General features: G+C 42.1%; 1 pseudogene, besides 1 other annotated feature; it reads right to left on the bottom strand.

The window, feature by feature from the left end:
• Positions 1–6,325: 6,325 nt before the first annotated feature.
• On the bottom strand, positions 6,326–6,986 carry OSTCP4 (oligosaccharyltransferase complex subunit pseudogene 4; annotated as a pseudogene).
• Positions 8,520–8,681: a silencer, noted in NCBI's record as "fragment chr4:113604501-113604662 (GRCh37/hg19 assembly coordinates)". NCBI's record gives its function as "represses an EF-1alpha promoter that drives an FKBP-Casp9 reporter gene in an ReSE screen in phorbol 12-myristate 13-acetate-treated (for megakaryocytic differentiation) K562 erythroleukemia cells {active_cell/tissue: K562(+PMA)}" and the evidence as "EXISTENCE:reporter gene assay evidence [ECO:0000049][PMID:32094911]".

Raw genomic sequence — 14,387 nt, 5'->3', positions numbered from 1 at the left:
TTACAGGTGTGAGCTACCGCTCCCTGCCCATTTTTAGTTAGCTGTTGTTTAGTGGTTAAACAACAAATAATTGGCAGCCAGGTACAGCATGCCCAGGGCCAGCTTTGCATCACTAATCAGTATGAAGTATTCCTGACAAGACTCTTATCTCCTAACCACATATCCCTTCAGTTGTTACCAAAAGAATTTTGACAAATCTCACTGAGACTAGAGAAAAAGATTTATAATTCACAGCTGTTCACTGATTCCAAATACATTAATAGTCTGTGAAGATTAAGTAGGAAGATTAAATAAGGAAAACTTAAATGTCTTTTATGTTTTATATCATTGTGTCTTTTTGAAAATTGTATTTATTTTAATGTAATTTTATTTTATTTTCTGAGATGGAGGCTCACTTCGTTGCCCAGGCTGGAGTGTAGTGGCACAGTCTCGGCTCACTGCAACCTCCACCTCCCAGGTTCAAGTGATTCTGGTGCCTCAGCCTCCCGAGTAGCTGGGATTACAGGCGCCTGCCACCATGCCCGGCTAATTTTTGTATTTGTAGTAGAGACGGGGTTTCACCATGTTGACCAGGGTGGTCTCAAACCCCTGACCTCAGGTGATCTGCCTGCCTCGGCCTCCCAAAGTGCTGGGATTATAGGCGTGAGCCACCGCATATGGCCTGTATTTATTTTTAAGTAGATAATTAACATGGTACTAAATTCAAAAGATACAGAAAGGAATACAGTAAAAAGTGAGTCTCCTGACCCTCTACTGTTTTGTCACCAAATTTCCCAAGGTTTCTGTTATTACCAGTTTCTTATGATTCTTCCGATAATATTCCATGCATTTATGAATATTAATATATGTGCTTTTTTTTTTTTGAGACAGAGTCTTGCTGTATCGCCCAGACTGGAGTGCAGTGGCATGATCTCAGCTCACTGCAACCTCTGCCTTCCGGGTTCAAGCAATTCCCTGCCTCAGCCTCCTGAGTGGCTGGGATTACAGGAGCCTGCCACCACGCCTGGCTAATTTTTGTGTTTTTAGTAGAGACGGGGTTTCACCATCTTGGCCAGGCTGGTCTTGAACTCCTGACCTCGTGATCCACCTGCCTCGGCCTCCCAAAGTGCTAGGATTACAGGCATGAGCCACCACACATGGCCCTTAAAATAAATTTTTAAATTATCAAAGTAATATCTCGAAAATGTTATATAAATGGAATCATAGAATATGTAGCCATCTGAGATTGGCTTTTTTTGTTCAGCAAAATTCCCTGGAGATTCATTCTAGTTGTTGCATGCATCAGTGGTTCATTCCTTTTTATTGTAGAGTAGTATAAATTAGAATTTTTTTTCCTTTAATAAACAGGTCTTGCTATGTTGCCCAAGCTGAGTGCAATGGCTATTCACAGGCACAATTGCACTACTCATCAGCGGGAAAGTTTTGACCTACTTTCTTTCCAACCTGGGCCTGTTCACCCCTACCAAGGTAACCTGGTTGTCCCCTGCCCTCAGGAAGTCACCATGTTGATTCTGAACTTAGTGCAGACAAGTGATTGGTATAGCACACTGCAGCCCTCCTAGTCTCAAGGATTCTCCTTATTGTGATAGAAGATGCTGTGGTGTCTGGTATGAAGATTCTAATTTAGACAGGCCTATTGTCCCAGCTACTGTGTTAACCTCAGACACCACAGCATCTTCTTTTTCTTTTCTTTTTTTTTTTTTTTGAGACGGAGTTTCACTCTTGTTGCCCAGGCTGGAGTGCAATGGCATGACCTCAGCTCACTGCAGTCTCTGCCTCCCAGGCTCAAGCAATTCTCCTGCCTCAGCCTCCCTAGTAGCTGGGATTACAGGCATGTGCCACCATGCCTGGCTAATTTTGTATTTTTAGTAGAGATGGGGTTTCTCCATGTTGGTCAGGCTGGTCTCGAACTCCCGACCTCAGGTGATCTGCCTGCCTCAGCCTCCCAAAGCGCTGGGATTACAGGCATGAGCCACCGCGCCCAGCTTCTTTTTTTTTTTTTTTTTTAGACAAAGTCTCGCTCTGTCGCCCAGGCTGGAGTGCAGTGGCACAATCTCAGCTCACTGCATTCTCCGCCTCCTGGGTTCAAGCGATTCTCTGGCCTCAGCCTCCCGAGTAGCTGGGACTACATGCGCGTGCCACCATGTCCGGCGTATTTTTTGTATTTTTAGTAGAGACAGGGTTTCACCATGTTAGCCAGGATGGTCTCGATCTCCTGACCTCATGATCCGCCTGCCTCAGCCTCCCAAAGTGCTGGGATTACAGGCGTGAGCCACCGCTCCCGGCCACAGCATCTTCTATAACAATATATTTTAAGAAACTAAATACAGGCTGGACACGGTGGCTCACACCTGTAATCCTAGCACTTTGTGAGACCGAGGCGGGCAGATTACCTGAGGTCAGGAGTTCGAGACCAGCCTGACCAACATGGAGAAAATCTGTCTCTACTAAAAATACAAAAAATTAGCCGGGCGTGGTGGCACATGCCTATAATCCCAGCTACTCAGGAGGCTGAGGCAGGAGAATCGCTTGAACCTGGGAGGTGGAGGTTACGGTGAGCCAGGATGGCGCCATTGCACTCCAGCCTGGGCAACAACAGCGAAACTCCATCTAAAAAAAAAAAGAAAGAAACTAAATACAAGTGACTGTAAGAGTCAAAGATTGCATTGAAATTAATATGGGCCTACTTTTGCATTCAGGAGTGTAATGGTAACTTCACGTGAATATGGCCCCGGGGTGAAGCCCAGGACAGTCTTTCGAATAGGAAATGTATAAAGTTAGGAAATACCACTGTGTTTGTATGTATTTTAATCATTTGGTCAACACTATTTATGTTGACCTTAAGGAACAAGAATAGTAATCCTAGATTGAATGAAACCTCTAGAAGAGGCTTCTGACCTTCTTCTCCACTGGGATAATTTCCATTTCCTCAGGGCAGCATGCTTGGTACATGAAGAGCCAAAGTGAAAACCAGCTAATTGAGTAGGTCAAAAGGGTAAAGTACTCTTCTATGGACTTGCTCTGGTGTTTAGAACAACTTCCTTTTGAAGGACAAATTCATCTTAGTGGATTAAGATGATATTGCCTATTCAGAGGAGTTAGGAAACTGTGAAGGAAAAGGACAGATGAGGAAAACTGCAAATTCAGGACACTTCGAACCTCACAATTGTTTAAACAGCTTTGTAAAAAGCTTCAGGAAATGTGAGATAGTACTCTGTCAAGAAGCACTTTTCCTTTTTTTTTTTTTTTTTTTAATTTTTTTGAGGCAGGATCTCACTTTGTCACCCAGGCTGGAGTACAATGGCACATCTAGGCTCACTATAGCCTCGACCCCCTGGGCTCAAGCTATCCTCCCACCTCACCCTCCCAAGAAGATGGAACCACAGGCATGTACCACCACGCCCGGATAATTTTTTGTATTTTTGGTGGAGACAGGGTTTCACCATCTTGCCAAGTCTGGTCTCGAACTCCTGAGGTCAAATGATCTTTTTTTTTTCTTCTTTTGAGTAGGAGTCTCACTGTATCACCCAGGTTGGAGTGCAGTGGTGTGATCTCGGCTCACTGCAACCTCTGCCTCCCGGGTTCAACAGATTCTCCTGCCTCAGCCTCCTGAGTAGCTGGGATTACAGGCGCGCGCCACCATTCCCGGCTAATTTTTGTATTTTTAGTAAAGACGGGGTTTCATCATGTTGATCAGGCTGGTCTTGAACTCCTGACCTGAACTCCACCTGCCTTGGCCTCCCAAAGTGCTGGGATTACAGGCATGAGCCACTGCGCCTGGCCTTCAAATGATCTTTCTGCCTCAGCCTCCAAAGTGCTAGGATTACAGGTGTGAACCACTGCACCCGGCCAAGAAGCACTTTTCTAAAAGAGGAAGCTAGAATATAAAATTATTCTACAAATATATATATATAAATTCTGGCCTAAGTGCAGTGGCTTGCATTTGTAATCCCAGCTTCTCAGGAGGCTAAGCCAGAAGCATGGCTTGATGCCAGAGTTCAAGACTGCAGTGACCTATGACTGTGTCACTGCATCTCAGCCTGGGTGACAGAGCAAGACCCAGTCTCAAAAAAAAAAAAAAAGGAATTTTGCCATATGATAGAATGTCTTTCTTTCAAAGTATTAGCTTTTGGTGAGATCATGGAGGGAATATGAGGAGAGAAAATAATGTTAGACATAGGTTTTTAGATGGGAAAATGTGTGTTTGACCCCTTATGATTTTTAAAATTAAAATATGATCTAAGGATCTGTAAATGGGAGCAGAATATTTATACCCAACTAGGAAAATTTGAATAGCAAATTTCATTGGTTTGCAGATGGTACATAAATGTGACTTTGCAAAAATAGATCAGAGAGAACAGGAGAGAAATGGAGAGTAATTTATTCCAGTGACAAAGAAAACAATGTCTAGACCCCATAACTAAACAATTGTTTTCCTGTTTCTGCTAAAAGTACTTTATATGTTAACTTTTAAGATAATTACCTCAATATTTTATTCAGTTGAGCATGCAAGGAACATTTTAGTTTGTGTCCTTTAAAGTTTCTTTCCTTCGGCTGGACGCAGTGGCTCACACCTGTAATCCCAGCACTTTGGGAGGCCCAGGCGAGCGGATCACCTGAGGTCGGGAGTTCGAGACCAGCCTCACCAACATGGAGAAACCCCGTCTCTACTAAAAATACAAAATTAGCCAGGTGTGGTGGCACATTCCTGTAATCCCAGCTACTCGGGAGGCTGAGGTGGGAGAATCGCTTGAACCCGGGAGGCGGAGGTTGCGGTGAGCCGAGATCACCCCACTGCACTCCAGCCTGGGCAACAAGAGCAAAACTCCATCTCAAAAAAAAATTAAAAAATAAAAAATAAAGTTTCTTTCCTTCTCTGTGCTCTTTTTTTTTTTTTGAACCATGCAAATGGAGATATGAAGAATAATAAAGCTAAAAGACCAGGATGAGGATAAAACATACCCCAGAAGTCAACTATTCAGACCCATTAAGCGTTTCAAACTCTGTGTGTCCAAAACCAACTTCAGCTGCTTCTCTGTGTTTTCACATGAAATCTAGAATTTTAGGGATTATCCTAATCTCCTTCTCTCCCTCCAATCTTCCCCACAACAGTCATTGAATTCTCCTCATACCAACTTCTTTTGTAGTACTTCCCTTCTCTGTCTTTGCATTTGCCACTATCTTTATTCACACTCTCACCATCCTCCCGGTCCCACTTACCCCCTCATTTTAAAGATGGACTAGGACTTCCTGAGTGGTCTTTCTGACTCTGATCCTATGATCTATCCTAGAATGATCTTTCTAAAACAAAAATCTAACCAGGTGGCACCTCTCCTTCCACTCCAAGTATTCAGTAAATGCTTGGATTGGATACACTGGATTCAATAAAATCCAAATTCTTCAGTTTAATACACAAAGTTCTTCACAATCTGGTCCTGGCTTGTGGCTTCTGCCTCATGACCAGCCATTCCAGCACTACACACAGGGTCCTGAGTATGTCTTACTCTTCACCACCACTTTGCCTTCAAATATCTTGCTCCCTATTATTCAAATGCTTCCCTTACTTTTATGAAACACAGCTCAAGATCCCTCTTCTGGGCTCTGCTACCCCCAGCCCCACCCCACACCAGTCTACTTTATTTATTTTATTATTAATTAATTCATTTATTCATTCATTTATTTTTGAGACAGTCTCGCTCTGTCACCCAGGCTGAAGTGCAGTGACGTGATCTTGGCTCACTGCAAACTCCGCCTCCCAGGTTCAAGCGATTCTCCTGCCTCAGCCTCTTGAGTAGCTGGGATTACAGGTGCCCACCACCATGCCCAGCTGATTTTTGTATTTTTAGTAGAGACGGGGTTTCATCATGTTGGCCAGGCTGGTCTCGAACTCCTGACCTCGTGATCTGCCTGCCTCAGCCTCCCAAAGTGCTGGGATTACAGGCATGAGCCACCGTGCCTGGCCTTATTTATTTATTTTTAATTAGGAAGATGATTTATTTCTGCTCCTTTCATATATCCTATTGTTCAGGAAACAGTCTTACATACATATCTGAAATAATCTACCATCACACACTCTAGTTAAAGGCAAAGCACCATAGGTAAAGCTGATAAGCTGTCCAGAGTTCTCAGCTTATGGAACCTTGCTTCTTAATTTTATGTTAATTTCTGAAAATCAGAAATGTCATCTCCAAAAAATGTTAAGGGGGCTGTAAAAAATAATTATTTGATATTATAGTTGTAGATATGGAGTAAGAAATGAAAAACTAAGAAGAAAATGCCACTAAACATAATTGGTATAGCAATAGGACAGCAGGAAAAAAAGATACTGTAATAAAATTGTCTCTTTAATACCAAGAAATTCTAGTCCAAGCTTCAATACGCTTCCTGTTTTTATCACTGGATATTTCTTTTACTGCTGCTCTTCATTCTTTTCCACATGTCATATTAGAGGATTGGTACAGTCTTTAAAACTTCATTGACAGGAGCAAATCCAGTATCCACTGATTTCTTCTCAAAGGCACTCTAACCCATCAGATAGCCCGGCAGTTTCATTCTCATGAATACTCCAGCCATGAAAAAATTTAATAGGACACAGACAAATCCAATGACTAGAAGAAGAAATCTATTGAGTTTGGGGATCTTTGGTGCACTCAATGGGTCCAGGATTATGAAACTTAAACCTCCCATGGTAAACAGGAAGCTGGATGCAAGTCGTTCCATAATATATTGTCCATTTACCCTGTAGACCAAGAAAGGTACTGGCCTCTGATACCCATGTTCATCAGTCATAGAGCCACACTTGGAGGTTCAACAATAACAACATAAATTATTCCTCCAGTGATGAGGAAGTAAGATACCGTCACCAGAGCATACACAGTCATGGCCGATGGTATGTGCAGCCAGGGCGGCTTCTTCAGCTTCAGGTTGGGACATTTAAGCACTAAGAATGGGACACGGTACAAAGTCTCCATGTTGGTGGCAGCAAGCTATTTATTTATTTATTTTATTTTTATTTTTATTTTTTGAGACTGGTCTTACTCAGTTGCCCAGGGTGGAATGCGGTGGCACGATCTCGGCTCACTGCTAGCTCCGCCTCCCGGGTTCACGCCATTCTCCTGCCTCAGCCTCCCGAGCAGCTGGGACTACAGGCGCCCACCGCCATGCCCGGCTAATTTTTTGTATTTTTAGTAGAGACGGGGTTTCACTGTGCTAGCCAGGACGGTCTCTATCTCCTGACCTCGTAATCCGCCTGCCTCGACCTCCCAAAGTGCTGGGATTACAGGCATGAGCCAACGTGCCCGGCGTACTATTTGTTTATTTTTAAGACAAGGTCTTGCTGTGTCACCCAGAATGGGGCGCAGTGATGTGATAACGGCTCACTGCAGCCTAGACCACCTGGGCTAAAGACATCCTCCCACATCAGCTTCCCAAGTAGCTGGGACTATAGTTGCATGTCACCAGGCCAGCTAATTTTTAAATTTTTTGGTAGATACAGGGTTTTGCCATGTTAAAAATTTCTCTCTTTTATGCTCTTATTTTACCTATATTATGCATTCTTTCACTTACTCAATAAATACTTTTGAGTACCTACTATGTGTCAGGCATTGTACTATACTGTCACTCTACTGTGATGATTTACATGTCTCCCCCCTACTTGAACATAAGCTCCCTAGATACACATTCCATTTAAATACAGTAATGAATGGGTGAATGGATGATGGATGGATGGATGGATAGATGGACGGATGGATGCATGGAGACTTTTGATGGTAGCTAACAGGGTTCCTTACAAGCTCCTATATGTATACATTTATACATATTTTATATATTATATAAATATATTTATATATTTATATAATATATATATTTATATTTTATATAAATATATATAAAAATATATAAAAATATATATATATAAATATATATAAATATATATTTATAAATATATATTTATAAATTTTTATAAATATATATTTATATACATATTTATAAATATATATATAAATACTTATAAATATATATATTTATATAAATATTTATAAATACATATTTATATAAATATATAAATAATATATAAATATATAATATATAAATAATATAAATAATATATAAATATATATAAAACTATCTATTTAAATATATAAATATATTATATAAATATAACTATATATTTTTATATATTTAAATATATATTTTTATATTATATATATATATTTTTTGAGACAGATTCTCGCTCCATTGTCCAGGCTGGAATGCTATGGCGTGATCTCAGCTCATTGCAACCTCTGCCTCCCGGGTTCAAGCAATTCTCCTGCCTTAGCCTCCCAAGTAGCTGGGATTGCAGGTACCCACCACCATGCCCAGCTAATTTTTTTTTTTTTTGTATTTTTAGTAGAGACAGGGTTTCACTATGTTGGCCAGACTGGTCTTGAACTCCTGACCTCAGGTGATCCACCCGCCTTGGCCTCCCAAAGTGCTGGGATTACAGGTATGAGCCACCGCACCTGGCCCAAGATATTTTTATATTAATTATTGTAGGCGGGGTGTGGTGGCTCATGCCTGTAATCCCAGGACTTTGGGAGGATGAGGCAGGCGGATTTCCTGAGGTCAGGAGTTGGAGACCAGCTTAGCCAACATGATAAAATCTCGTCTCTACTACAAATACAAAAATTAGCTGGACGTGGTGGTGCATGCCTATAATCCTAGCTACTTGGGAGGCTGAGGCAGGAGAATTGCTTGAACCCGGGAGGCGGAGGTTGCAGTGAGCCGAGATCATGCCATTGCACTGCAGCCCGGGCGACAGTGTGAAACTCTGACTCAAAAAAAGAAAGAAAGAAAGAGAGAAATGTTCCTACATACAATGATTTTTTGTTTGTTTGTTTTTTGAGATGGAGTCTCACTCTGCCACCCAGGCCAGGCTGGAGTGCAGTAGCAGGACCTCAGCTCACTGCAATCTCTGCCTCCTGGGTTCAAGCAATTCTCCTGCCTCAGTCTCCTGAGTAGCTGGGATTACAGGCACTCGCCACCATGCCCGGCTACTTTTTTGTATTTTTAGTAGAGACGGGGTTTCACCATGTTGGCCAGGCTGTTCTCAAACTCCTGACTTCGTGATCCGCCCGCGTTGGCCTCCCAAAGTGCTGGGATTTCAGGCGCACCCGACCGTATGTAGGAACATTTCTAAGATGTATTAGAACCTCTCTGCCTTCTAAAAACACCAGGACCATTTGGCCCTACTAAATGACACTTTACTAATGTTCTTTGGAGGGCTTGAGTTTTCCTTTAAAATTTTTGTTTTCTTCCGTGCTGACAGGAAATCACTTGTTGCTTAATTGTCATTGATATGCCACCTGAAGCAGCTGATTTTCCTCTAACACCATTCTGATCTGTTATAAGGTTGGAAGCCACATCATGAGAACTGCTGTAACTTCATGCAAAATGCAAACCAATAGATTCAGAATGAGGCCCTGAAGATTCTTATGAGATTGGTCTTGTCCAAACACTTGGGGGTTGATTAAAGAAAAAACAATTTTTTTTAAAAGAGAATAGTCTTGAATCCAGGGCACCGAACTTTATGACAACTATTTTTCCTACTCAGAATAATTCCTTACTTCCTGATTCTTTGGGCTCTTGACAAATGTGGCATTAATATGTAAAATGTAGTACCATTTTAAAAACTAGAGTCCACAAAAGGCTAGGCCTTACAGTGGCTCATGCCTGTAATCCCAGCATTTTGGGAGACCAAGGTGCGAGAATCGCTTGAACCCAGGATTTCAAGACCAACCTGGGCAATGTAGCAAGACATGATCTCTACTAAACATTAAAAACAAAAACAAACAAACAAAATACACTAGCCAGGCATGGTGGTGTGCGCCTGTAGTCCTAGCTACTCCAGAGGCTAAAGCAGGAGGATCTCTTGAACAGGGGAGTTTGTGGTTGCAGTGAGCTATGATCATACCAGTGCATTCAAACCTGGGTGACAAAGCAAGACCTTGTCTCAAAAATAATAATAAATAAATAAAATCCACAAAAAGAGGAATTAATATTTGAACATGCACCTATATAGGAAATAGTGATAAGATATGGTATTGTGAAAAGACACATTTTAAATTCTATTTGATTTAAATATCTGGCGTAATCTATGGTACTTTTTAGTAAATGAAAATAACATGAGCTTGGGAATCAGATGAACCCAGGTCCAAAATTTTGTTCTGTCCATTTGGGTGACCTTTGTGTAACTTAGCTATTTTCCCTTCATTTTCGTCTATAGAATCCCTAACCTGAAAAATTGAGATAAAAACACTTTTTTTCTTTCTTTTTTTTTGAGATGGAGTCTCTCTGTGTCGCCCAGGCTGGAGTACAGTGGCGCAATCTCAGCTCACTGTAACCTCCACCTCCCGGGTTCAAGTGATTCTCCTGCATCAGCCTCCCGAGTAACTGGGATTACTGGCGCACACCACCATGCCCAGCTAATTTTTGTATTTTTAGTAGAGACAGGGTTTCACCATGTTAGCCAGGATGGTCTCCAACTCCTGACCTCGTGATCCACCAGACTCGGCCTCCCAAAGTGCTGGGATTACAGGTGTGAGCCACTGCGCCTGGCCCCAAAACACTTTTTTTACTGAATTGTTTGCAAATAGATTAAGATAGTAATTTAAGAGCAGTTGCTTATTTGGCACTTTCTATTGCAGAAATGAGCTAAAATAAGATAGGGTTATGTATCAGTCATTAAAGAGATAACACTAACCATCTCAACAAAATCATTAATGTTTTACTGGGCAAATCTTGTGATCTTTTTCAATTGTATGCTATCAGTGCCCTCTGTGATCTTTGCTCACCTGTGATTACAGCTTTGCTCATCCTCCTGTCATGAGATCTCCTCTACTATGAGTGGCAACGAACTCTTCCCTAGACCATCAGGTCACTCTTACAGAGGGTCTTGGGTTATCTTCCTGTGTGAAGCAAGCTAAGGAAATGATGTGGGGTGGTTCCCAGCCTCTGACCACTGAGCTGCTCCAGCCACTAACAACGTTTTGCTTTTTATTTTTTTATTTTTATTTTTATTTATTATTTTTTTGAGATGGAGTCTTGTTCTGTTGCCCAGGCTGGAGTGCAGTGGTGCAATGTCACCTCGCTCCAACCTCTGCCTCAAGGGTTCAAGCAATTCTCCTGCCTCAGCCTCCCGAGTAGCTGGGGTTACAGGCATGTGCCACTGCGGATAATGTTTTGCATTTTCAGTAGAGATGGGGTTTCACCATGTTGGCCAGGGCCAGGCTGGTCCCGAACTTTTGACCTCAGATGATCCACCCACCTTGGCCTCCCAAAGTGCTGGGATTGCAAGCGTGAGACACCATGCCCAGACAACAACGTTTTACTTTTAAAATTCTGAGTGTGTCGTAAGCACTTTGTTGTATCCATTAACAAACTCAATCATATGAGACAGATAGCATTTTCTTAATTAACTGATTTATTATATATATACACATATTTTTTTTTAAGAGATGGGGACTCCCTCTGTCATCCAGATTGGAATACAGTGACATGATAGATCATAGCTCACTGCAGCCTTGAACCCCTGGGTTGAAGCAATCCTCCTGCCTCAGCTTCCCCAGTAGCTGGAACTACAGGTGTGCGCCACTGCACCCAGCTGACAGATACTATTATTATACATACTTAACAGATAAGAAAACTGAGGCAGAAGTTTGAGTCTGTGCTGTCCAATGTCATATCCATTAGCTCATGTAACAATTGAGCTCTTGAAACATGGCTTGTCTGGGCCAGGCGTGGTGGCTCACGCCTGTAATCTCAGCACTTTGGGAGGCTGAGGCGGGTGGATCACTTGAGGTCAGGAGTTCAAGACCAGCCTGGCCAACATGGTGAAACCCCGTCTCTACTAAAAGCACAAAAATTAGACAGGTGTGGTGGCAGGTGTCTCTAATCCCAGCTACTTGGGAGGCTGAGGAACAAGAATCACTTGAACCTGGGAGGCAGAGGTTGCAGTGAGCCGAAATCTTACAACTGAGATCGTACCACTGCACTCCAGCCTGGGTGATGAAGTGAGACTCTGTCTCAAAAAAAAAAAAAAAAAAAAAAGGCGGCTTGTCGGAATTGTGATCTAAGTGTAAAGCACACACTAGATTTCAAAGACTTTAAACTATCTCATTAACATTAGTTTACATTAATTATATGTTGAAATTTTTTGGATATATTGGCTTAAGTGAAATACATTATTAAAATTAATTTCACCTGTTTCTTTTCACGTTCTTTAATCTGGTTACTAGAAAATTTTAAATTAGCCAGGCGCAGTGGCTCACACCTGTAATCCCTGCACTTTGGGAGGCCGAGGCGGGTGGATCACAAGGTCAGGAGATTGAGACCATCCTGGCTAACACGGTGAAACACCGTCTCTACTAAAAATACAAAAATTAGCCAGGCGTGGTGCTGGGCACCTGTAGTCCCAGCTACTTGGGAGGCTGAGGCAGGAGAATGGTGTGAACCCGGTAGGTGGAGCTTGCAGTGAGCCGAGATCACGCCATTGTGCTCCAGCCTGGGCGACAGAGCAAGACTCCATCTCAAATAAAAAAGAAAAGAAAATTTTAAGTTAGGCTGGGCGTGGTGGCTCATGCCTGTAATCCCAGCACTTTGGGAGGCCAAGGTGGGTGGATCACCTGAGGTTGGGAGTTCGAGACCAGCCTGACCAACGTGGTGAAAACCCATCTCTACTAAAAATACAAAAATTAGCCGGGTGTGGTGGCACATGCCTGTAATCCCAGCTACTTGGGAGGCTGAAGCAGGAGAATCGATTGAACCCAGGAGGCAGAGGTTGCAGTGAGCCGAGATCATGCCATTGCACTCCAGCCTGAGCAACAAGAGCAAAACTCCACCTCAAAAAAAAAAAAAAAGAAAAATTTAAATTACTTCTGTGTCTCACATTATGCTTCTATGGGACGGAGCTGGTTTAAGCAAGTTGCCCAAGGTCAACCTGCTAGTGTCAGCGGCAGAATTGGGACCAGGTGGTCTTGAAATATCGGCATTATAAATTAATGTTAACCATATATTAAAATATTTTAATAATGCAATTAACATATTCATAATTTAGTATGCAAGGTACATTATGGTAATTATACCAGATGTCTGGTAATTCTTATAGTACAGCTAGGCTTAACACATTATTTTAAAACAATTGGACATTTTGGAACCTTTCGTCTTTCAAAGTTGAGGTTAAGAAGGAAATGAAGATAGGGTGTCCTTATTACAATCTTTGAGATAATTTAGAGAGGAGAACGTATCATTAATCTTTTGACATTATTTGTGTCCTAGTTTTCTTTTCTTTTCTTTTCTTTTTTCTTTTTCTTTTTCTTTTTCTTTTTTTTTTTTTTGAGACGGAGTTTCACTCTTGTTGCCCAGGCTCAAGTGCAATGGCTCCATCTCGGCTCACCTCAACCTCTGCCTCCTGGGTTCAAGCGCTTCTCCTGCCTCAGCCTCCTGAGTAGCTGGGATTACAGGTGCATGCCACCATGCCCGGCTAATTTTGTATTTTTAGTAGAGAAGGGGTTTCTCTATGTTGGTCAGGCTGGTCTCGAACTCCCAACCTCAGGTGATCCACCCACTTTGGCCTCCCAAAGCGCTGGGATTACAGGCGTGAGCCACCGCGCCTGGCCTGTGTCTTAGTTTTCAAAAAATTACTTTTATAAGGCATTAATCTTATGTGCTGCAGAGGAAAAAAAAATAGGAAAAGCCCTTGTTTTAATAGAACTTATATTCTGGCCATTGGGTATGAGAGAACATAGATGTTAAACAAATAAATATACATAATATCAGGTGGTTATAAGGGCTATGAAGAAAAACAAAGCAGAGTAAGAGGACTGAGAATAACAGGGGAGTGAACGGGGGAAATGGTGCTATTTTTAATAGGAGAATCTAAGAAGTCCTCTCTGATATGGTGACATTTGCAGAGGACCTAAATGAAGTGATGGAGCAAGGCTTGCAGTTATTTTGGGGAAAAGCATTCCAGGCAGAAGACAAACAGGTGCAAAGAACCTAAGGCAAGAACAAAAAGCTAATGTAGTAGGAGTGCTGTGATCGAGTAGAAGATGAGGTCAGAGGATATGGGGTGGGGGTGGATACACAGGCCTGATGGTCCACTAGAAGGACTTTAGACTTCCTTTTGCTTGACACTGAAAGTCACTGGGGGTTTTAGAAGAGAGGAGTGATTAAGTTCTGTCATACTCTGCCTGCTTTATTGAGAACAGGTTGTAGGGGTCAGGAACAGAAGTAGCAGTGCCAGTTAAGATGCTATTGCAATGGTCCAGTTGAGCAAGCATGGTAGCTTAGACTATAATGGTACCAGTGTTCAAGGTGAAAGAGGTCAGATTTGTGTTGTTTATGAA

This window comes from Homo sapiens, chromosome 4 (assembly GCF_000001405.40).
Source record: "Homo sapiens chromosome 4, GRCh38.p14 Primary Assembly".
Taxonomy (NCBI): domain Eukaryota; kingdom Metazoa; phylum Chordata; class Mammalia; order Primates; family Hominidae; genus Homo; species Homo sapiens.
Note: the sequence above shows the minus strand (reverse complement) of the source record. Positions and strands in the feature narration are given on the sequence as shown.